The following is an 18,234-nucleotide window of genomic DNA, read 5'->3' on the forward strand; positions in this document are numbered from 1 at the left end:
CAATCAATGAGTATTTATTGAATGGCCACTGTGTGCCCACCATCACACTTTAAAAAGTTCCTTTCCTCACAGAGTTTGCTGTCTGGCTGAGACAGTAAGATATAAGCATGCGTAAAATAGAGCACAGTATGGCTATCTGATACTAGGCTGACGAGGGTCAGGAAAGAATGGGGGAAGAAGTGCTCATTGACAGAGCTTAGGGGGATACAACTACTGTCTTCAAATGAGGTGAAGGCAAGCAAAGCTGTTCTCTGTTACTCTAGAGAAAAAATGGATAGCAGGGAGGCATGCTTGGGCTCATTGTAAAGAACAATGATTTAATAATCAGAGCTATCTAACATGGTAGGGCTGGCTCATTAAGCAGAGGGCTCCTCGTTCTCAGAGGCTGCAGTCACAGCTTCACAGAAGCCTGTCACAGAAACAGCAGAAAGTGGTCCAGGTTGAAGTGGGAGATTGTTTTGGATGACCTCTAAATGTCCTTTCCAACTCTCAGATTCCCAGGGTTTGTTATATAGGAGAGGATGACACTACATGCTGCAAATGGTTAGTAAGTGCAATGATAGCAAGAAAGTGACATCACTTCTTGCAACCTCCACCTCTTCATTTGATAGATGAGGAAAATAATGTGGGCTCACCTTAGGAAGTTGCTGGAGGAAGTGAGAAGGTGGGTCTGTGCACAAAGAAAAAATGCATATGAGGGCACATTTAATAGAGCTGTAGGGGTGTAGCCAGGGAAATCCTATGAGGAAGAGGCCTTTGGAGTGATATGACTGTATACAACAACGATAATTGCGACTATTACACATATTAAGCCCCCACAATATGCCAAGCACTTTCACGCTGTATTTACTCTTCCACCAACACTTGAAGTAAGCAATATATGCCTATTTTATAAATGAAAACTGAAGCTCAAGGAGGCCACACAGCCAACAAGCAGCAGAGGGTGACCTTGGGTCCTTATTACCTGACTTCAGGGTCCAGGTTCTTGACCAACAGGTGGTACTGTCCTTGACTCATCCACACAGGTGACCTGGGCCTAAGATGGAGCTGGATCTTGCAGGCCCCTGTGGGTAGAGCTCTCTTACCTTGACCACATGGAGCTTGGGCAACAGATTGCAGTCAGCCAGGGTCAGCTCATCCCCATCCAGGAACTTGCGCCGGGACCCCTTGTCTTCCCCACAAGTGTTGGCGTCAATCTCCTCTGGTAGAGGGGTGTTCAGGTAGTCATCCAATTTCTTTAGAGCCTTGGTTAGGCCTCTTTCAAGAGCTGGCATGAAAGAGTAAAAGGGCCTTTATTCAAACTTCTTGCCAGTGGATACAGTCATAGGGTCTTCAGAGTGGAGTAGCTCATCTAGAATCCTGTCCCCTTCATCACACTGCCAGCTCCCCACACACTGCAGAATACCTGGAAACCATTAACACAATGCAGTAGAAGTGTACTAAATAGGCTGAAAAGGCAAACTCTAACCAAACAATAAACACTAGCTAATCTTTTGCTTTGAAAAAAATACATAAATATAGAAACACAGTCTGGGTGTGGTGGCTCACACCTGTAACCCCAGCACTTTGGGAGGCCGAGGCGGGCAGATCATGACGTTAAGAGATCGAAACCACCCTAGCCAATATGGTGAAACTCCGTCTCTACTAAAACTACAAAAATTAGCTGGGCATGGTGGCACGCGCCTGTAGTCCCAGCTACTCGGGAGGCTGAGGCAAGAGAATCGCTTGAACCCAGGAGGCAGAGGTTGCAGTAAGTGAAATAATACTAGCCAATTTATTTATTTATTTGTTTGTTTATTTATTTTTGAGACAGAGTCTCACTCTGTCACTAAGCTGGAGTGCAGTGGCGTGATCTGGGCTCACTGCAACCTCCGACTCCCTGGTTCAAACGATTTTCCTGCCTCAGCCTCTCGAGTAGCTGGGATTACAGGCACAAGCCACCACACCCAGCTAATTTTTGTATTTTTAGTAGAGACGGAGTTTCACCATATTGGCCAATATGGTCTCGATCTCCTGACCTCATGATCGGCCCGCCTTGGCCTCCCAAAGTGCTGGGATTACAGGTGAGAGCCACCATGCCTGGCCAATACTAGCCATTTTTTTAAAAAGTTTTGGTTATCTATAATTTGCTAATATTCCACATCAACCTACATATTACATTTTTAGGAAGAAAAGGCTATTAAATGGGTAAATATAAACTATATAGAAGTTCCAAGACAAAGATATGCATCAGATATTGTGGAAGTATTAACTATAGCTAACCCAACCCAAGAAGAGTTGGGGACAAGGCCTTCAGGGGGACTTGACAGGGGGAATAGAACAGCCCTTTTTGATGTCACCCCCAGAGAAGTGATGGGTACCAGGGAAGAACACTTGGGTTACTCTAGGGAAGCTTGTTCTAAAAATCACTGCTGTCTCAAATGGAAGGGCTCCACCACAAATGTGCAACCCCCAGCTGCACAGAAAGCTGTCATGATTATGACTCAAGGAATGAACACCCAAAGGAACATAACATGGGAGAAGGCTTTTACAGTCTTGGTCAAATAATTATCTGTCACATAATTTATTTAGACACAAAAGCAGACAAAATACCCAAAAGAACAACTGTGGGAAGCCATCATCACTGAAAATCGTTTTGCCCAGAATCTCGTAGTCCTTTCTAATCAGAGAACACTACCATAGAAACTTTCTACTTGAGCTCAAAGGACAAACATGGAGGAGATGGCTGACCAGGGCATCAGTCACTGCACCTGTGTCATCAGCCCCATCCCCAGACTCTGGTTTAGAGCCTGACACTGAGATAATGGAAGTCGATCCTGCTGTTCATTCCAGTAGATACAAGGCGGACACTGCCTTCTGGAGGCAAAGCCAAGAGGGCTGTACTCTTGTTCAGATTTTCCCAAGTGTGCCTTGTTAGCCACTCCTCTCATAACCCACTTTTTGTCTTTTCATAGAAGGCCTTTTGTTTGAGACAATGGAAAGACACCAGCCCAAGATAAATCAATTGAACACTTACTGGAATGTTTGAAAACTGCCTGGAGGTTGGGCATAGTTTCTCAATACTTTCTTCTCCCTGGTGTGGCATTTGAACTACTTCATCATCTGCTTTGTGTTTCCAGTTTGGGAGAACAGAGTAAGCAGGGCTGGGAAAATGCAGTATATTCCTTAATAATTGTCTAGACTGTGATGGGATTGCAAGGCTATTCAAAGGCAATGGCAGAGGGTGGGTACTAAACAATGCTTATTATGCTTTTCTCCCTGAAGCACTTGTGATTTATTTGTTTGCTTGCTCAATCCCTCTACCCCTTTCATTCCTGGAGATTACAGCAAAATCTTGATTATAATGAAGAAAGGAAGAATCAAATACTGGGCCTGTCAAAATTTGACCAACTAATATCATCTGAGGGAAAGAGTCATACGATAGGAGATGAGACATTGCAGGTTCTAATCTCAAATGGCCCTGGAGACCTGAGTGGGCTGTTGCACAAGTCTGTGCCCATGTCACCAGGTCTGGGAAATATCATGAAATTTGGTGAAAAGCCTAGAGCAGTGATTGAAGTTCCTTGGGAAGATAGTTCTTTATATCCCTCCGGTAATTCCTCGAGATGGAAGGCATCAAGTCTGGTGACAGGAATCATTGTTGATTCATGTTGCAACTGTGACATTCCATGGAGCTTTCCAAGTCAGCACATTCTGGAAGGCACCCTCTGTGTATCAGTCTCCTCACTTGGGTTTGTGTATTTTTGACCAGGAATGTGAGGGCTGCAGTTGGTAACAGCCGTGGTAGAGGAAGAGGAGACAAGGCAACAGGGAAAGGACTGCAAGGCCTGGGACTAAACTGTGTTTAAATCTCAAGGCCGCCCAGGGTGAATTCACTGGGAAGCTGCTGAGCCTTAAGCTTCAAGGTGTCTTGCTTTCCTGGGTCCCTTCCAAGCGCTTGGATCTGATTTCAAGAATTCTGTATTGGTACTTATTGTATTGCCTTAAGGCTTCATAAATCCCACAAATGTCGTTGATCCTGGCACTTACATGTGACCTTGGACAAGTTCCTCTACTTCACTGAGTTTCTGCTTTCTCATCTCAATAACGGGACTAAGGATCCTTCACCCTGTTAAGACCACTGCTGGGGTTAACTCAGATAATGCAGGGAAAGCACCTAATACAGTGCCTGGCCAATACGAGGACATCAATTAATGGTAGTTGTTGCTATTGCCTTACCAAACGTGGGGTCCTCCTGTTCTCTGTTCCTTGCCCCATACTCTTGGTCAATATATTCCTGAATATCCCAAGGTGCAGTGGAGAATGGGTGATTTTAAGAAGCTCCAAATTTGTGGCCAACTCCCTGGAGAGGAAAATCAATAGCCTGGAGATTTGCTTCCCTTACTTATTTAGTATACAGCCAAAGCCCTGTTCCTTATACTCCCTTGGGATGCTCCTTGGTGATAAGCTGTGTTGAAAGGCACACCCATAGCAAAATAGACACAACATGCCTGTGTGCTGAAACACTACCATATTATCGGATAGCAAATGGCAGTACCCACTATACGCTCTGCCAATTCTTTTCCTCCCACCTGCCAACTCATTCCTCTGACCCTGGCTCAATCTGCCATCCATAGAATTTAATGATCTCTTTTGACTGATGGTACACAGGTCATGAAACTATTTGAACTTTCTGCTCTGGTAGGAACAAGGGGGATGTGAAAGAAACTAGAGCAACAAAAAGATGTTAATTCTTTGTGTTTAATTCCTCGTAAATATTTGATATCCTCACTCCACATAATTACTCTGAGTAGTTAGATGGGGGTATCCCTCCAACTACAGCAAGTGAGCCTAGGGTTGGGGCACCCAAGACGCAGGATCACTAACATCCCAGGGACTTGATAGATACCCAGTGTTTTAACTGCTTTCTTCCCCTCTCCGCCTCTGCTCCCCATACAGATTTATTCTGTACCACACACAAATGCACTGGGTAAAATATGTGATGAGGAAACAAGGGGAATAGTTCATAAATATTCTGAGCCATATGCAAACAATCTTAGATTTATTTTTCTCTTTTTTAAGGAGGAAAAAAAATCCACCCATTCCATGATCACTTCCAGATTCATTGAGGTTGATATTACATAAGACCCAATATTGTTTTCTCGTCGTAGAGAAATAATGACTTGGAAACAGCAATTTGAGCTAAGAAAATAATATATTCTTACCAGGGCATGGAGGCTGAATGGGGACTGGGGAGCCAAGACTCTAACCCAGCCTCCAACAAGTTCTTGCAAGAACAGCTCAGCCCTGGTTTGCTGGCAAACTCAGTGCAGCACAGGTCCTGATGAGCATAAGGCAAAGCAGACTCCTGGGGCTCAAAATTCACATGGAGAGGAGCAGATATCAAAGGTGGTCTTTGAAAGAATGAGAACAGCTCTGTGGGCCCAGGTGGCTGCACGCTCAACTTCTCATATATGGTTTTTCTCTTGTATGTGTGTTGCAGCAAAATAAAAACCAGGAACCCACCTGTGACCGTTGTCTGTAGATTGGATGGGTGTCTGTTCAACTCTCCATGGAGAAGGAGGTTGTGGTTATTGGGCACTGGCCTGGGCCGAGTACCCTCTGCCCTATCTTGTTCCTTTTATTGCCCTAGTCCCATACCTTAGCACCAGCAAGGAAATACACTCACTGAATTCCCGCAGTGAGCTAGGGATGTTTATGCAACTACCATTTAAACACACAATGAGGCTATTGAGATGGAAAATATTATTCATCGTCATTCAACAGATGAAGAAACTGAGTCTTAGACTTACCCAGGGCACATACGCTTATGCAAGCACACACATAGCTGGTCCTTAAACCATTCAAACTACTCCTGGGACGTACAATGGAAATGTGCCTTGCTTTGTTTTCAACTGCTATGGTCTTCCTTACAAGCTCCTAACCTCTGGGTGGTGGAAAAACAACAACAACTTTAATTTCGTCCATTTTGGATTATAACCTAGTCTGATGTAATCATCTAAATAGTCCCCCTAGAGAATTCTGTCTCTTTGCATTGATATGCTCAGTTTCCCAGAGAACCTGCCCCTCCTTGCTCTCCTTCCTGAGTCAGTGGCACTGGGAATTGGGGACTAGGCCCCTGTGACCTCACAGCACTGGGGAGATGGGGTTTCTGGAATCTATGGGTGGAAGGCTTTGGAAAGCGAATACAGGTTCTGCATTTCTTCTGTTTGCTTCCTTCCAGAGTAACCATGGGGATGCTGGGTGGGGGTTACAGGTGGGCTGCTTGCCTCCCTCCACAATCTGGAAGGATACCCAAGCAAAGCACCACACGGAGCTCTTAACATGCTCTAGTTCCCTGACCCTCCCCCCCACCACCTCTCCTTTCTTCTTCATCCCCAACTCCCCTGTGCTAGGAAGGGTGGGCTTTTCTTTTAGTTTTCCCAGGTCAAATGGCCCACCAATCATTGAGCAGAAAGCCTCGCGGCCTTGCTGCATAGCCAGTACAACTGTTTCTACTCTGTGAGTCGAGGCCTCCAGGCAGGGTTTTTGATGGGTAAAAATTGAGAAATAAAAGAGTTTAGAACATCTTAGACAATAGGTTGGGTAAAAGTCTACTGTCTTGTTGAAAATGCTATTTTGAAGATCAAAAGCTGAATATTGAATTCTTTTTTCTGTCTTAGAGTTCCTTTTACAGAAATCCTAATCTCTCTGAGGTCAATGAATGCCTAGGGCAGATTAGAATCACGTACTCAGAGTGACAGAGAGAAAAAAATGTTCAATCGATTAGCTCTATTATAATTTAGGTGCAAAGCCCAGGATTTAAGCGCAGGGCTATTAGATTCTAAAACATAAACTCCTTCTACTCTGCAAGGCCACTTCTGGGTGCAAGGACTGTCCCATCACTCCTTGGGTATTCACGTGGCCTGACAGGTGCTGCAAAATGTTCTCATTCCCCTGACAAAAGAGGATGGGGTTCCCCTCATGACTCCCCCATGCCTTACCTTCCAACTAATTTGGTAACATATTTGTGTTCTGCTACCAGTGCTTGATTTCAGATATAATTCTTAGTACTTTCAGCGACCGTGATGAGGTCAAGAAGGAGTTTTCTCTGAGTAGAGGGGCAACCATGACCCATCACATCACTTTTCAACTCTGCCTGTACTAGGGGCCAGTGCTGTCACACGGGCTGTGTGACAATGAAACATCTGGTCAAAAAGTGAGAAATCCATTTGGATTTTTCCTAGGAGGAAAGAAATATCTAGATATTGAGAAATACCTGGAGCACTGAATGAAGTTTTTACTTTTCATCTTCTCATTTGAGATCATGTTGATATAACCAAAGGGTGCAAAAAAAGTACAGTGGTGGTTTGAGAAAGACCATGGCAGACGGAGATGTCTCTGGCCATCACATATTTTTGAAGAGAAAATACAAAGATGGCCACACTTGTTGACATTTGATAGTTTAAAACGTGAATGGTAACGTGATGGAAACAAAAAATAATAATAAGAAGAATATCACCACTTACTCATCTGTTGGAAGAAGAAGCCTTTCTTTCCACAGGCAGCTAGGACAAGAGGAAGAGACACTGAGAGAGATCAGATGGACTAGGCCAAAGATCCAGGAGCAAGCGGGATGTAGGAGCCCCAGCAGGGCCCAGGAGGATTGGGAGGGTGAGGAAAAGGGCAGGTGCAGGCCAAGCAGGCAGAAATGTAGATGCTGCTATAACGAGCTCAATTTTGAGGAGAGGCAAAGATATTCTAAGGGGATTTTGAGGATGTTCAGCTCTGTGATGGGCAGTGTAACCAATCCCCTCCCCCACCAGAAAACTTTACATAAAGATCTGCATTCATCTTTCAGGTTTTAGAAATGAGTCATGTAGCTTTTTTCTCAGTTGCCAAAGTCCTTAAAGAAAGAGAACAGTAGCCCAGTTACAGTTAGGTTATATGAGTATGAATGACCACACAAAGGCAAAATTATAAAGCAGGTGGAAACTGGGGTTTTCTCATCCGCAGTGACCTTTCTAGGACTCATGGCAGGTAAGGGGGGGCTGATTTTCAGGTCCCTTTGTCTTTTAAATAATGTCTACACCAGATTCTTAGACCACATGAAGTCAGAAATGGCAGCAAGGTTTTAGAAGATGGGAAGGGGACTTTCTATCAGGTCTGATGGGACGCTCTCTGCTGTGCCTGGGCCCTCTGGCTATGTTTGCATGTCACTGGTTTCATCAAGGAAGAAACAGAGAATCTGGGTCGAGTATGTCGGGGAGCCATGGCTTCTGATAACAAACACAGTAGCAGAGCAGCACATTCACTCTGCCATAAGAGATTTGGGTTTGAATCCTCAGTTATGCTTGTTCACAGGTTCACATCATCTAGTGTCTGGTGCAGAGTGAGACTTGATTAAAGTTAACTGCTATTATTATTATTACAGCTATAGAACTTGGGTTTATGAGAGGATGAAGGGGAAGAAGACACCGAGAGAAAGATGAGAGAAGAGATAGCTCAAGGCAGAAATTCAGTGTCTGAAGTGAAGTTTATCTGAACATCCTAGCATGTTCCAGGTCCAAGGAGAATCCTGGAGAGCTTGCAGGATGAAGCTTGCTCTTGACTTTCCTAACATGTTAGGGATCTAAAGTTGCCTGGAAGCATCTCTTTGGGTTTGGCTTTGCTCTCTCCAGGCCACATGGGTGTGTCACATTTTCTTAGTTTGACAGTTTAGAGAGTTCATGTCCACCTTTGGCACTGAACCAAGAACACTGGACTTGGCCTCATAGCCAGAGAGGAGGATGTTGTCAAATTGGCCCTGGGTGTGAACAACCCAGGGGCTCACATGGGGGAGGCAATTCCCAGGCCTCCGTTTCTAGGCACTGCTAAAAACAGGAAAGGCAGAAAGACAAACAGCGGTTTATGAGAAAGCAAAATGCAATGGCAACTTCAACAGATTCCCCACTGTTCCCTCGTGTGGCGTCAGCTGGGCTACAGAGAGTGTGCAGCACGTGGTGCCATGGGTATTATTTGTTTGTTCTAGAAAGAATTTCAGCCTCAGAGGGGAGGATGAATTAAATGACAAGCTCCTATAGTTCTTTCCAGTAAGAAGCCAGTAAATGATTCTTTATTTGAAAGATAGCGTTTAAGTCTTACAATTATGGTGGGTTGGGATATAGGACACTGTTGGTTGCCCACCCTCCTCTGTGGTGGGGAGAATGGGGTGTTTTCTGATGTATTTCCAAGGAATTCAGAAACTTTCTTAAGGAAGACACAGATTCTCCACATAGCTGCTTCCCCAAGCTCTATAGGGGATTCTTATAAAGAAGCATCTTTTTATTTAATACAGCTCCACAAATCACCCTTATATTTGGCGTATGTTCAGAAGTATTAGTACAACAACAAAATGCATATTTTTTTTAAAGGCAAGAGACTTTGGCCAGTATTTGGCTATGTTTAAAACACCAGCATGGTAAACATTTAGGACAACTTTAGCATGCCTTTAGTATAATATTTTCTTAAAGTATGAAGGGAGGTAGGGACTCCAGATCCAAATAATTTTCTAAACCTCTTAAAAGCCACAGTAGATTTGAAGAGAAAGATTATCACTTAGGTCTTCGAATTAAGTTTCCTTTTGTGTACTCATCTGTAGCATGTAAGCTGCCTGAATGTTTATTTATCAACAGGAGAAGGGAGGAAGAGAGAGAGAGAGAAAGAGAGAGAGATAGAGAGAGAGAGAGAGAGAGAGACTGACTGAATGTGGGAGGAAGCTGCAGAGCTAGCGAGCTCAGGAGTGATCAGGGGAGAAGTTCTGGTTAGGGAACCCGGCCCAGACTTTAGCCATGGGGCAGTGGCGACACCTTCTGGCTTATCCCTGAGCAAACAAACAAACAAACAAAAAACTCCCCAAAAACCTATTGTGTATTTTCCACAGAGAACATGTACGTGTGTTTTCTATTAGACTTTCCAGAAACTCATAAATGATTGTAGAACCCATCGTGCTAATAGAAAGTACGGCATAAATGCTGACGGAAGCTATTAATGCTGATTGTAGTTTATGTGGCCAAATGAATCAGGCTGAAATCTGTGAGTTTTTTTATGGTTACTTTATAACAGGTTATTTTTAAGTATCAGGCCATAGATTAGGTTTAATGCGGATGCTCACACACTTAGAATGAGCTGGTTAAGAGAGATTCTAACTTTATCAGTCATCCGTTCCAGCGTTTAGACCTAGAGATTTTTCTCAATTCTCCCTCCCCCAAAACACTTAGGCTGAAGTACATTCACCACATTTTGTCTTGTTTCATCCTCAAATAGCCACATCTTTTACATAAGAGCCATTCACAAACTTAAAAACTGCCTCTGTGCCACTGCAATGCTAGACTGAAATAATTACTGGATTTGGTGATTCTGTGAATATCCTACAAATTCTCTTCCAGTTGCCCATTCTTTTATTTGTTAAACAGGCATCTATTCGGTGCCCACTGTGGGCCAACTTTGTGCCCCTTTCCCCACATGGATTGCTGGGTGAGGACCCTGATGGGGAAGGTGGGAAGTGTTGAGTATATTTAAGGAAATACACATGGTAGTCATTCATTGAGTATTCATCGGATCGTGAACTGATTTGATCACCATTTCCTAAATGACACACTCTTGTTTAATTCAGCACTACATACATATTAAATAGTGGATTATATTAAATGTTAATATACGCAAGTCAAGAGCACAGATCATGGGACCAGCTGCCTGGGCTGGGGTCCTGACCCTGACACATACTAGCTTGGGCAGGTTGCTTAACCGGTGCTTGTTTCCTTCTCTGCAAAGTGGAGATCATAACATGGCATACCTTAGAGGGTTGCTGGGAGCAATAATTGAGTCATCACCTGCAGAGGGCTTAGTACAGTGCCCGGCATGCTGTAAGCAGTTGTTATGTACAATGTGTATGTGCAACGCATGATGATGCTGATGTATGAGAAACAAAGCATACAAAAAAAGCAACAAAAAATTCTTAGAGCTGCAAGAAAAAAGTGGCTCTTGCCTCTGGCTCTGCTCAGTAAACATCGTGCTTGACTCATCCTCTGCCCTGAAATGCTGACATGAACAGGGATATTCAGCTGTTCCTTTCATTCTGACTCTACAGCCAGAACCACAGTCCCCCAGCCGAAAGCCTTCATCATAACAGATGTGAAATGGGGCAACCTTAAAGGTTGGGGGTGACTGATACTTACACAGAATTCCCCAGATATGCTACAAGTACACCTGGACCTCCCTCCCCCTTGCTCAGAGCAGTTCCCTGGATACCCTAATGTGCCCCAGCAAAAATTACAGTTTGTGGGGAGAAGCTACCCATTGGATGTTTGAGTTGCACAGCTTTTACTACATGAGTCTTGCATCTCCTAAAGTTTGAAGTGTGTAGCAAATTAAATGTGCAATTTTATACTTCTGTTTCCTGAAATCTAGTAGGGGGTAAATGACTCAGATTTTTCCAGCACCAAAGGAGAATTTAAAATAGTGTGTCCTTTTTGGCAATGGCTAGGACAGGTATTTTCACCAGAGAGAGAAAAAATATCACCTTAACTTGAAAGTGAATATATAAGAATTGAATATACAAGAATTCAGTCTCCTTTTATTTGTTACTAGTAGAAGACAGAGCCCATATATATATATATTTTCAGGGTAGCAATGTGCCCTATCAAAAATACTCATCTTCCTAGATTCCCAGAATTTCAGCTACAGAAGGCCAAATAACCAAGTTCTGGCTAAAGAGATATCGGTAGAAATTAATCAATGGGCTTCTGGGAAAGATAAGATAGATGCGGCTGGCATTGTCTGGAATGCGGATGTGATGTTTGGGGGTGGAGCAACCATCCTGTGAAACAAGAATGAAAGTCACACACGAAAGATGGAGAATTAGGAGCTCTAAGCAGCAGCTCAATTCTCGACTTCTTTCAGCAACTACATTTGCCTGGAACTCTCTACTCTCTGGACTTCTTGTCATGTGAGAAAAGCAAATTCCTCTTAAGAAGTAAACATTTATCAAGAGTGCTTAGAACAGGGCATGGTTCATAGTAAAATGCTATATAGGTTTTGCTAATAAAATACATGTTTGCTTTAGCCACTGTAGTCAGGCTTCTATTACAAACAGCCAAACACAACATTTGCCAATATACATAGGTATTGCCAACATGCCAACATGTCATTATTCCGCTTTTTTTTTTTTTTTTTGAGATAGAGTCTCGCTCTGTCACCCAGGCTGGAATGCAATGGTGCGATCTCAGCTCACTGCAAACTCCATCTCCCTGGCTCAAGCAATTCTTCTGCCTCAGCCTCCCAAGTAGCTGGGACTACAGGCGCGTGCCACCACGCCTGGCTAATTTTTGTATTTTTAGTAGAGACTGGGTTTCACCATATTGGCCAGGCTGGTCTTGAACTCCTGACCTCGTGATCCGCCTGCCCTGGCCTCCCAAAGTGCTGAGATTACAGGCATGAGCCGTCGCGCTCAGCCTCATTATTTCACTTTTATTCTAGCACCTTGCACAGCGTATGGTACTGAATAAGTATTTGTTGAAAGAATAAGCCGTTCAGTGGGGTTTGAGGAAAGATGAAGGACCCTAAAATCATGTGACTCTATTTATATACTTATGTAATAAGCTTTAACTCTGTAGAGGAACAACAGTTCCCTTTCTTTGTATAATAGTAGCCCTTGGTCTTTTGAGGATAGATGAAGGGATTCAATTAGTTTGGCCTGAGATACCCTCCCACAGAGTCCCAGCCACTTTGTTATCAGAGCCAAGAGAGAAGCATAGGTTAGCATCAACCTCTCTGCCAAACGACTCAGGTAGGACTGAGGCAGTTTCAGACCTGGGCAAAATGTTGAGTAAAACTCATCTTAGGGTCCCCACAATGGAAACAGAACATGGATAACTATCATTGCAAACATCAGTGGGCATGAGACCATCAGAGTTAGAGCTGAGTGCAGGAGGTCTGAGAAATCACGTGGCTCAACCCTCCCCTCCCCAGAATGTTCTGGAAGGGAAGAGGTTCTAGACACTAGCACAGAGAAACATATATACACACACACACATACACACACACACACACATATATACATACATATACATATATATATATATATTTTATTTTTTTTATTTTTTTTGAAATGGAGTCTCGCTCTGTCACCCAGGCTGGAGTGCAGTGGTGTGATCTCGGCTCACTGCAAGCTCCACCTCCTGGGTTCATGGCATTCTCCTGCCTCAGCCTCCCGAGTAGCTGGGACTACAGGCACCCGCCACCACACCCGGCTAAATTTTTTTTTTTTTTGTATTTTTAGTAGAGATGGGGTTTCACCATATTGGCCAGGCTGGTCTTGAACTCCTGACCTTGTGATCCGCCCCCCTCGGCTTCCCAAAGTGCTGGGATTATAGGCATGAGCCACCGCGCCCGGCCAGAGAAACGTATTTTATTTACCTTGATCCAGATCATTAAATGCTTTGTCCACCAGGGGTCTTAGAAAAATAATTTGACCTCTGGCTGCTAGCTGAAAAAAGTCTAGAATTTAGCCTTCTGTGTTTTCTCTTTTGACTCTTGGTGAAGTATCACTTTTAACACCAAATAGAATTTCCCTTGAATGTGGTTATAAAAATAATGGTGAAAAGAAAAATCCCACTTCAGCGAAGCCCGCCAGCACACTGGCCATCCTAGTGAGGAGAGCTGCTCAGGTTCTTGCATTCTTTTATTGATTGGTTCTAAGTGAGATTATTCACCATGAAGCTTGATATCATATAACAGAGGCTACAAAAGCATTGTATGTTCTCACGTCAAAGACAATGCTAGTCACAGAACATCATAGGATTTAAATGGGGACTGGGAAGTTTTAAATAAATACAGTCAGAGCATAGGGGAGTCTGCAACATGGGGACAGATTTAAAAGGTGAGGTTCCACAGCGGGGACAGGAAGTGGCTGGAGGACGTGCCCGTGGCTCTGATGAGGCCCCGTCATCATCTCCCAAGCAAAGGCATAGACAAGGTAGAGGTGTGTTGAAGTGTTTGTATACTTTTTTTTCTCTCATTTAACAAATATTGATGGACCATCTGCCCTGGGTCAGATGCTGAGCTGGGGTCTGGGGTGACAATGATGAAGGAGGCACACCCAGCATGCTTCCTCACAGAGACAGCTGCTCAGAACCCTGTTTCTCACAGCACAGCCCTGGACCAACAGTGTCCGAATCGCCTGGGAGCTCTCAGGCCTTGCCCCAGATCCACTACCTCAATATCTGCTTCGTAACAAGACCCTGTGGGAAACCAGGATATGCCACCCCCAAAATAGGAAGGATTGTTGAGATGAAGACAATTCAGAAGAAACAGAGGCAGTAAAGCTCTCTGCCCTCCCTCTATTTGTCTAAAAGCAGGACGTAGATTTACAAAGACAAAACGTATCTTGCCTCCCCCCTTCTACCAGGGAGAACCACTGAAAACAACTTAAGACGCTTATGCTCCTGGAGATGGCCCTGCAGGAATCTACATTGAACAAGCTTTGCTAACTGGCCTTTATCTGCCATTCATTTGCTATCCCCCGAAGTTGCTGCCCCTAGAGACTCAAAGTGTTTTTTCCCTTGTCACATCTCTAAAAGTTTACTGTCCTTTGATGAGGATGCTGTGAAACTAGAATTCAAAGCCATCTCTTTGAGAACTCCTCATTATAGAAAATATACATGTTAATAAACTTCTGCTTGTTTTTCTCTTGTTAATCTGTCTTTTGTTACAGGGGTCCCTTCCAACTAAGAACCTATGGGGGTTATTCTTCCTCTAAAACCCCCACGGGATTCAAATGTATTCGCAAGGTAGAAAATGGTCTGGCTAACAAGAGGAATGAAAAGAAGTGCTGCTTTATGCTTAAGCCTTAAGTCTGTGCCTGTCTTAACTCATGAGGCTACTCCGGCTCAGCCTGGAAACAAGCTTGAGATGGGGTGGAGTGCCTTCCTGCAAGACGGCGCTGGAGCAGGATTTGAAAGAAAGCCTGGGGTTTTAAAGCCAAAGTTCCATGTAGCAACTTTTTCCCAACAAATTACCCTCTCTAAACTGCTGATAAAGTCAGAATACCAGACTAGATTTAATCCCTGGTTTTAGTTCTTATGTCTTTGCAACACTAGTTGGTAGCAAAAGATGTTTAAAAGCTGAGAAATGCTGAAGCTTTTGCTAGAAGGTTCAGTGCACCACCTGGATTTCACATCTTGTCATTTTCAGCCCCAGCTCTACCAAAAATGAGGGAATCTGTTCTACAGGTTAACTTATCCAGAGATATTCTCCCCTAAAGGTCAGCAGAAACTTGGAAAAAGTTTCCTCAAAGCTACGTCCTAACCACAGACAAGGGGTTATGAATGTAGTAATTGTATAAACCAACTGTGATACTTTCAACCTACACACACACAATGAAATGTAGACACACACACCCATGGACACACTATTGTACTTCTGTGGTCTGCATATCCTGTGCTTAGTGGGATATTGTGTCCCATCATGAATATATTGTGTCCCATCATGAATATAATTTTGCATGTAAGCACTTTCTTTTAGATTAATTGAAATGAGCCTGTCTAAGGAGGTATGTGATGGCCTTTGCCAGTACATAAGAACATCAGAACACACACGAAGTGCATAAGTGTGTGTGTGTGTGTGTGTGTGTGTGTAGAGAGAGAGAGATTGAGAAACGTATTTGGTTCCTATGTGTAGACTGCACAAAGACAAGAGGTGTTGGTTGCATAGGATGAGGTAACGGTAGGAAGAGGTGAAAGAACATTTAACTCATGTGCAAATCAGTTATTTAACGTTCCTTTATTCCCCAGGTCTTGATCTGCATCCAGGCCAGGCCAGGAGAACTCATTCTGGTCAGACAGCGGGAAATTCCACCACATGGAATGGTGTTGGTGGTCTCCGCTCTACTCCAGTCCAGGAGCCCACACAGCAAAATTCCACTAATGAATGCGCCCACCCACGCAGGGCCCAGCTCTCCCCACCCCCTTCTCCCCATGCCTGCCCCATTCAACAGGCCACGCCACCACCAACCGCCTTCCTTACAACTGCCCAAGGATTCGTTTCAGGAGCAAGATTTGTTAAATTATAAATTGGAAGCATCCACCTCAATAATGAACCAAATCAAAGACCCTCTGGAGGAATCCCTCAGGCAGCTCATGGGAGGGACCAGAGGAAGCATTTGCCCACTCCTCTCCCTCCTGCCCTCAGCCCCAAGGACCCTCCATGAGGGAGGAGACGAGGACATGCAAGTGCAGAGCCCACCAGACCTCCGAGGTGGGTCCCACCGAGCCTAGGTTATTTGTTTTTCCTTACAAGAATGCTAGTCAAAGCAAAACTTTAACCCAACAAACCAACAAACAAAATACCCCTAGTTGGCTATTTGCACACAGGGGTTGCCAAGGAAGGCAGCCTGAAGGGTCCCTTTGTGACCAGAGGCGTTTTTGAAAGGAGACAGCAATGGCTGCTTTATGAGGAAGTGGTGAGACGGTCACATGTTATCCGCATTGCTGTGGAGGTCGGCCTGACCACCCAGGAGCCTTCACCAAGATGGCCTGATAACAGCCCACCGTGGGGCTCCCAGGCCTCTGCAGCGGTCTTCCTGGGACCCAACTGTCCTCCAAAAGAACTGCTTCCAACAGAGTAGACATGGAGCCCCACGGCCACCTAAGTGACTCTGTTTCTGAGCATGCTACAGGGTAATTAGGTTTCACATTCCTGCTGCTTTTTACACACGGCCTTAGCTTTCTCATCAGGCCTGTGGCAGAGCACAAGGCAGAATGAGAAGGGGGGTGCCGCATCCATCCCCTGGATGGCCAGGCCCTCCAGACAGGGCCACTGTGACACGGGGGCTGGGGGCTGGGAGGGAGGAAGGGGAGAAGGCATGAAGCGCCTTATGATTGAAGTGGCTTGGAATAATAAATATACACACTCTTTTTTAAACGTGGCTCACCACATCCTGGGAATCTGGAAAAAATGCCCCACTTCACTGTCCCTCACCCTCCTCCCCACCTACCCCCCAGCAGCAGTGGCTTTCATGACGCCTGGGGGAAAGCACAGGGCCTTTGATAATAAGGGGCTTGTTAGTTCTAGGCTAACAGCCCTCCCAGGCCGCTCTGAATCCTTTCAAGCACTTTTTTATTTTAGGTCAAGGAAGTTCGTAAATGTAAAGACTCGAGATTGTAGAAGGAGAAGAGGAAAGGGAGAAAGAAGCATTTGGGGGTAGTTGTCATTGGGAGGGGCAGCCAGGGACCTCCTATGGTAGATCCGTCAGGCCTGGTGGACATGCCCTTCCCTTGGTGTGGGGGACAGATAATGGAAGGTGGCTTTGAGCCTTGAAGAAGACCTAGCCTTGTTTGAACCGTCTAAGCTTTGGCTTAGATAAAACTGAATCTTTGTATAGGAAGACCCTTTCGAATCCACAGGCCTTGAATAAATCACATCAGCTGGCTCTGGCGACGATTCCTCTGCCTGCCAGAAGAGGGCAGCACATGCTTCCTCATTACAGGGAAAGCTGGGCTGCCCAGTCCAAAGGGTGGACACTAGGTATGGAGGCGGGGGGAGCACTGTGAAATTAATAGCAGCAGCAGCAACAGCAGCAGCAATAGCTATCACATATTGGTGCCTACTGTGTGCCAGGAACTGTCCTAAGTGATTTATATGCATTAATTCATCTAATTAACATGACAAATCTTCAAGAGAGGGTGCTATTACAATCTCCATATTACCGTTGAGGAGGCTGAGGCATACTGAAATTAACAGAACTTGCTATTGTAGCCACGGACTGCCTAAGATTGAGGTCAGCAAATTACAGTCCAAGGACTAAATCCAGTTCACTGCCTACTTTCATGCTGCCCTCAAGCTAAGTATTGTTTTGTGTTTTACATTTTTGCATGGTTGGAAAAAAGTCAAAAGAAGAATAATATTTCATGAAGTGAGAATGATGTGAAATTCAAATTTCAGTGTCCACGAATGATGTTTTATTGGAACACAGCCCTATTTATTTGTTTACATATTATCTGTGGCTGCTTTATGATTCCTGCAGCAGAATTGAGCAGAGTCTGGTAGAGGCTATGTAGCTTGCAAAGCCTAAACTATTTACTATCTGACCCTATATAGAGAAAGTTTGCCAAGCCCTGACTTATGAGGAAGAGCTACCTGTTTCCAGGCAAGAGGGACAGAGAACAGAGTTGCTATTTACTGGAAATGGAGCTAGTATCGCTATCCCAGGGCAATTTA

General features: G+C 44.5%; 1 protein-coding gene across 15 annotated transcripts in view, besides 3 other annotated features; it reads right to left on the reverse strand.

The window, feature by feature from the left end:
• The window catches only part of CLIC5 (chloride intracellular channel 5), a 248,993-nt gene that overhangs the window by 32,316 nt on the left and 198,443 nt on the right, over positions 1–18,234 (reverse strand). For 8 of the 15 annotated variants that reach the window (XR_926258.4, XR_007059275.1, XM_047418898.1 and 5 more), the window contains one exon: positions 1,086–1,267. Coding sequence is in view for 10 of the 15 variants with exons in the window: in XM_047418898.1 (XP_047274854.1) it covers positions 1,086–1,267 (182 nt within the window). In the remaining 5 variants the exon portion in view is untranslated. Of the gene's footprint in view, positions 1–635; positions 671–1,085; positions 1,406–5,792; positions 5,927–6,983; positions 7,223–7,508; positions 7,548–18,234 lie in introns of those variants that run through there. The other 7 variants (XM_047418896.1, XM_011514692.4, XM_047418897.1 and 4 more) reach the window with 5 other exon arrangements.
• Positions 11,164–11,313: an enhancer, noted in NCBI's record as "active region_24647". NCBI's record gives its function as "activates an Ori minimal core promoter by ATAC-STARR-seq in GM12878 lymphoblastoid cells {active_cell/tissue: GM12878}" and the evidence as "EXISTENCE:reporter gene assay evidence [ECO:0000049][PMID:35858748]".
• Positions 13,585–14,249: an enhancer, noted in NCBI's record as "H3K4me1 hESC enhancer chr6:45894464-45895128 (GRCh37/hg19 assembly coordinates)". NCBI's record gives its function as "activates a minimal SCP1, AML or CMV promoter by ChIP-STARR-seq in primed H9 embryonic stem cells {active_cell/tissue: H9 hESC(primed)}" and the evidence as "EXISTENCE:reporter gene assay evidence [ECO:0000049][PMID:30033119]".
• Positions 14,250–14,913: an enhancer, noted in NCBI's record as "NANOG-H3K4me1 hESC enhancer chr6:45895129-45895792 (GRCh37/hg19 assembly coordinates)". NCBI's record gives its function as "activates a minimal SCP1, AML or CMV promoter by ChIP-STARR-seq in primed H9 embryonic stem cells {active_cell/tissue: H9 hESC(primed)}" and the evidence as "EXISTENCE:reporter gene assay evidence [ECO:0000049][PMID:30033119]".

This window comes from Homo sapiens, chromosome 6 (genome assembly GCF_000001405.40).
Source record: "Homo sapiens chromosome 6, GRCh38.p14 Primary Assembly".
NCBI classification, from domain to species: Eukaryota; Metazoa; Chordata; class Mammalia; order Primates; family Hominidae; genus Homo; species Homo sapiens.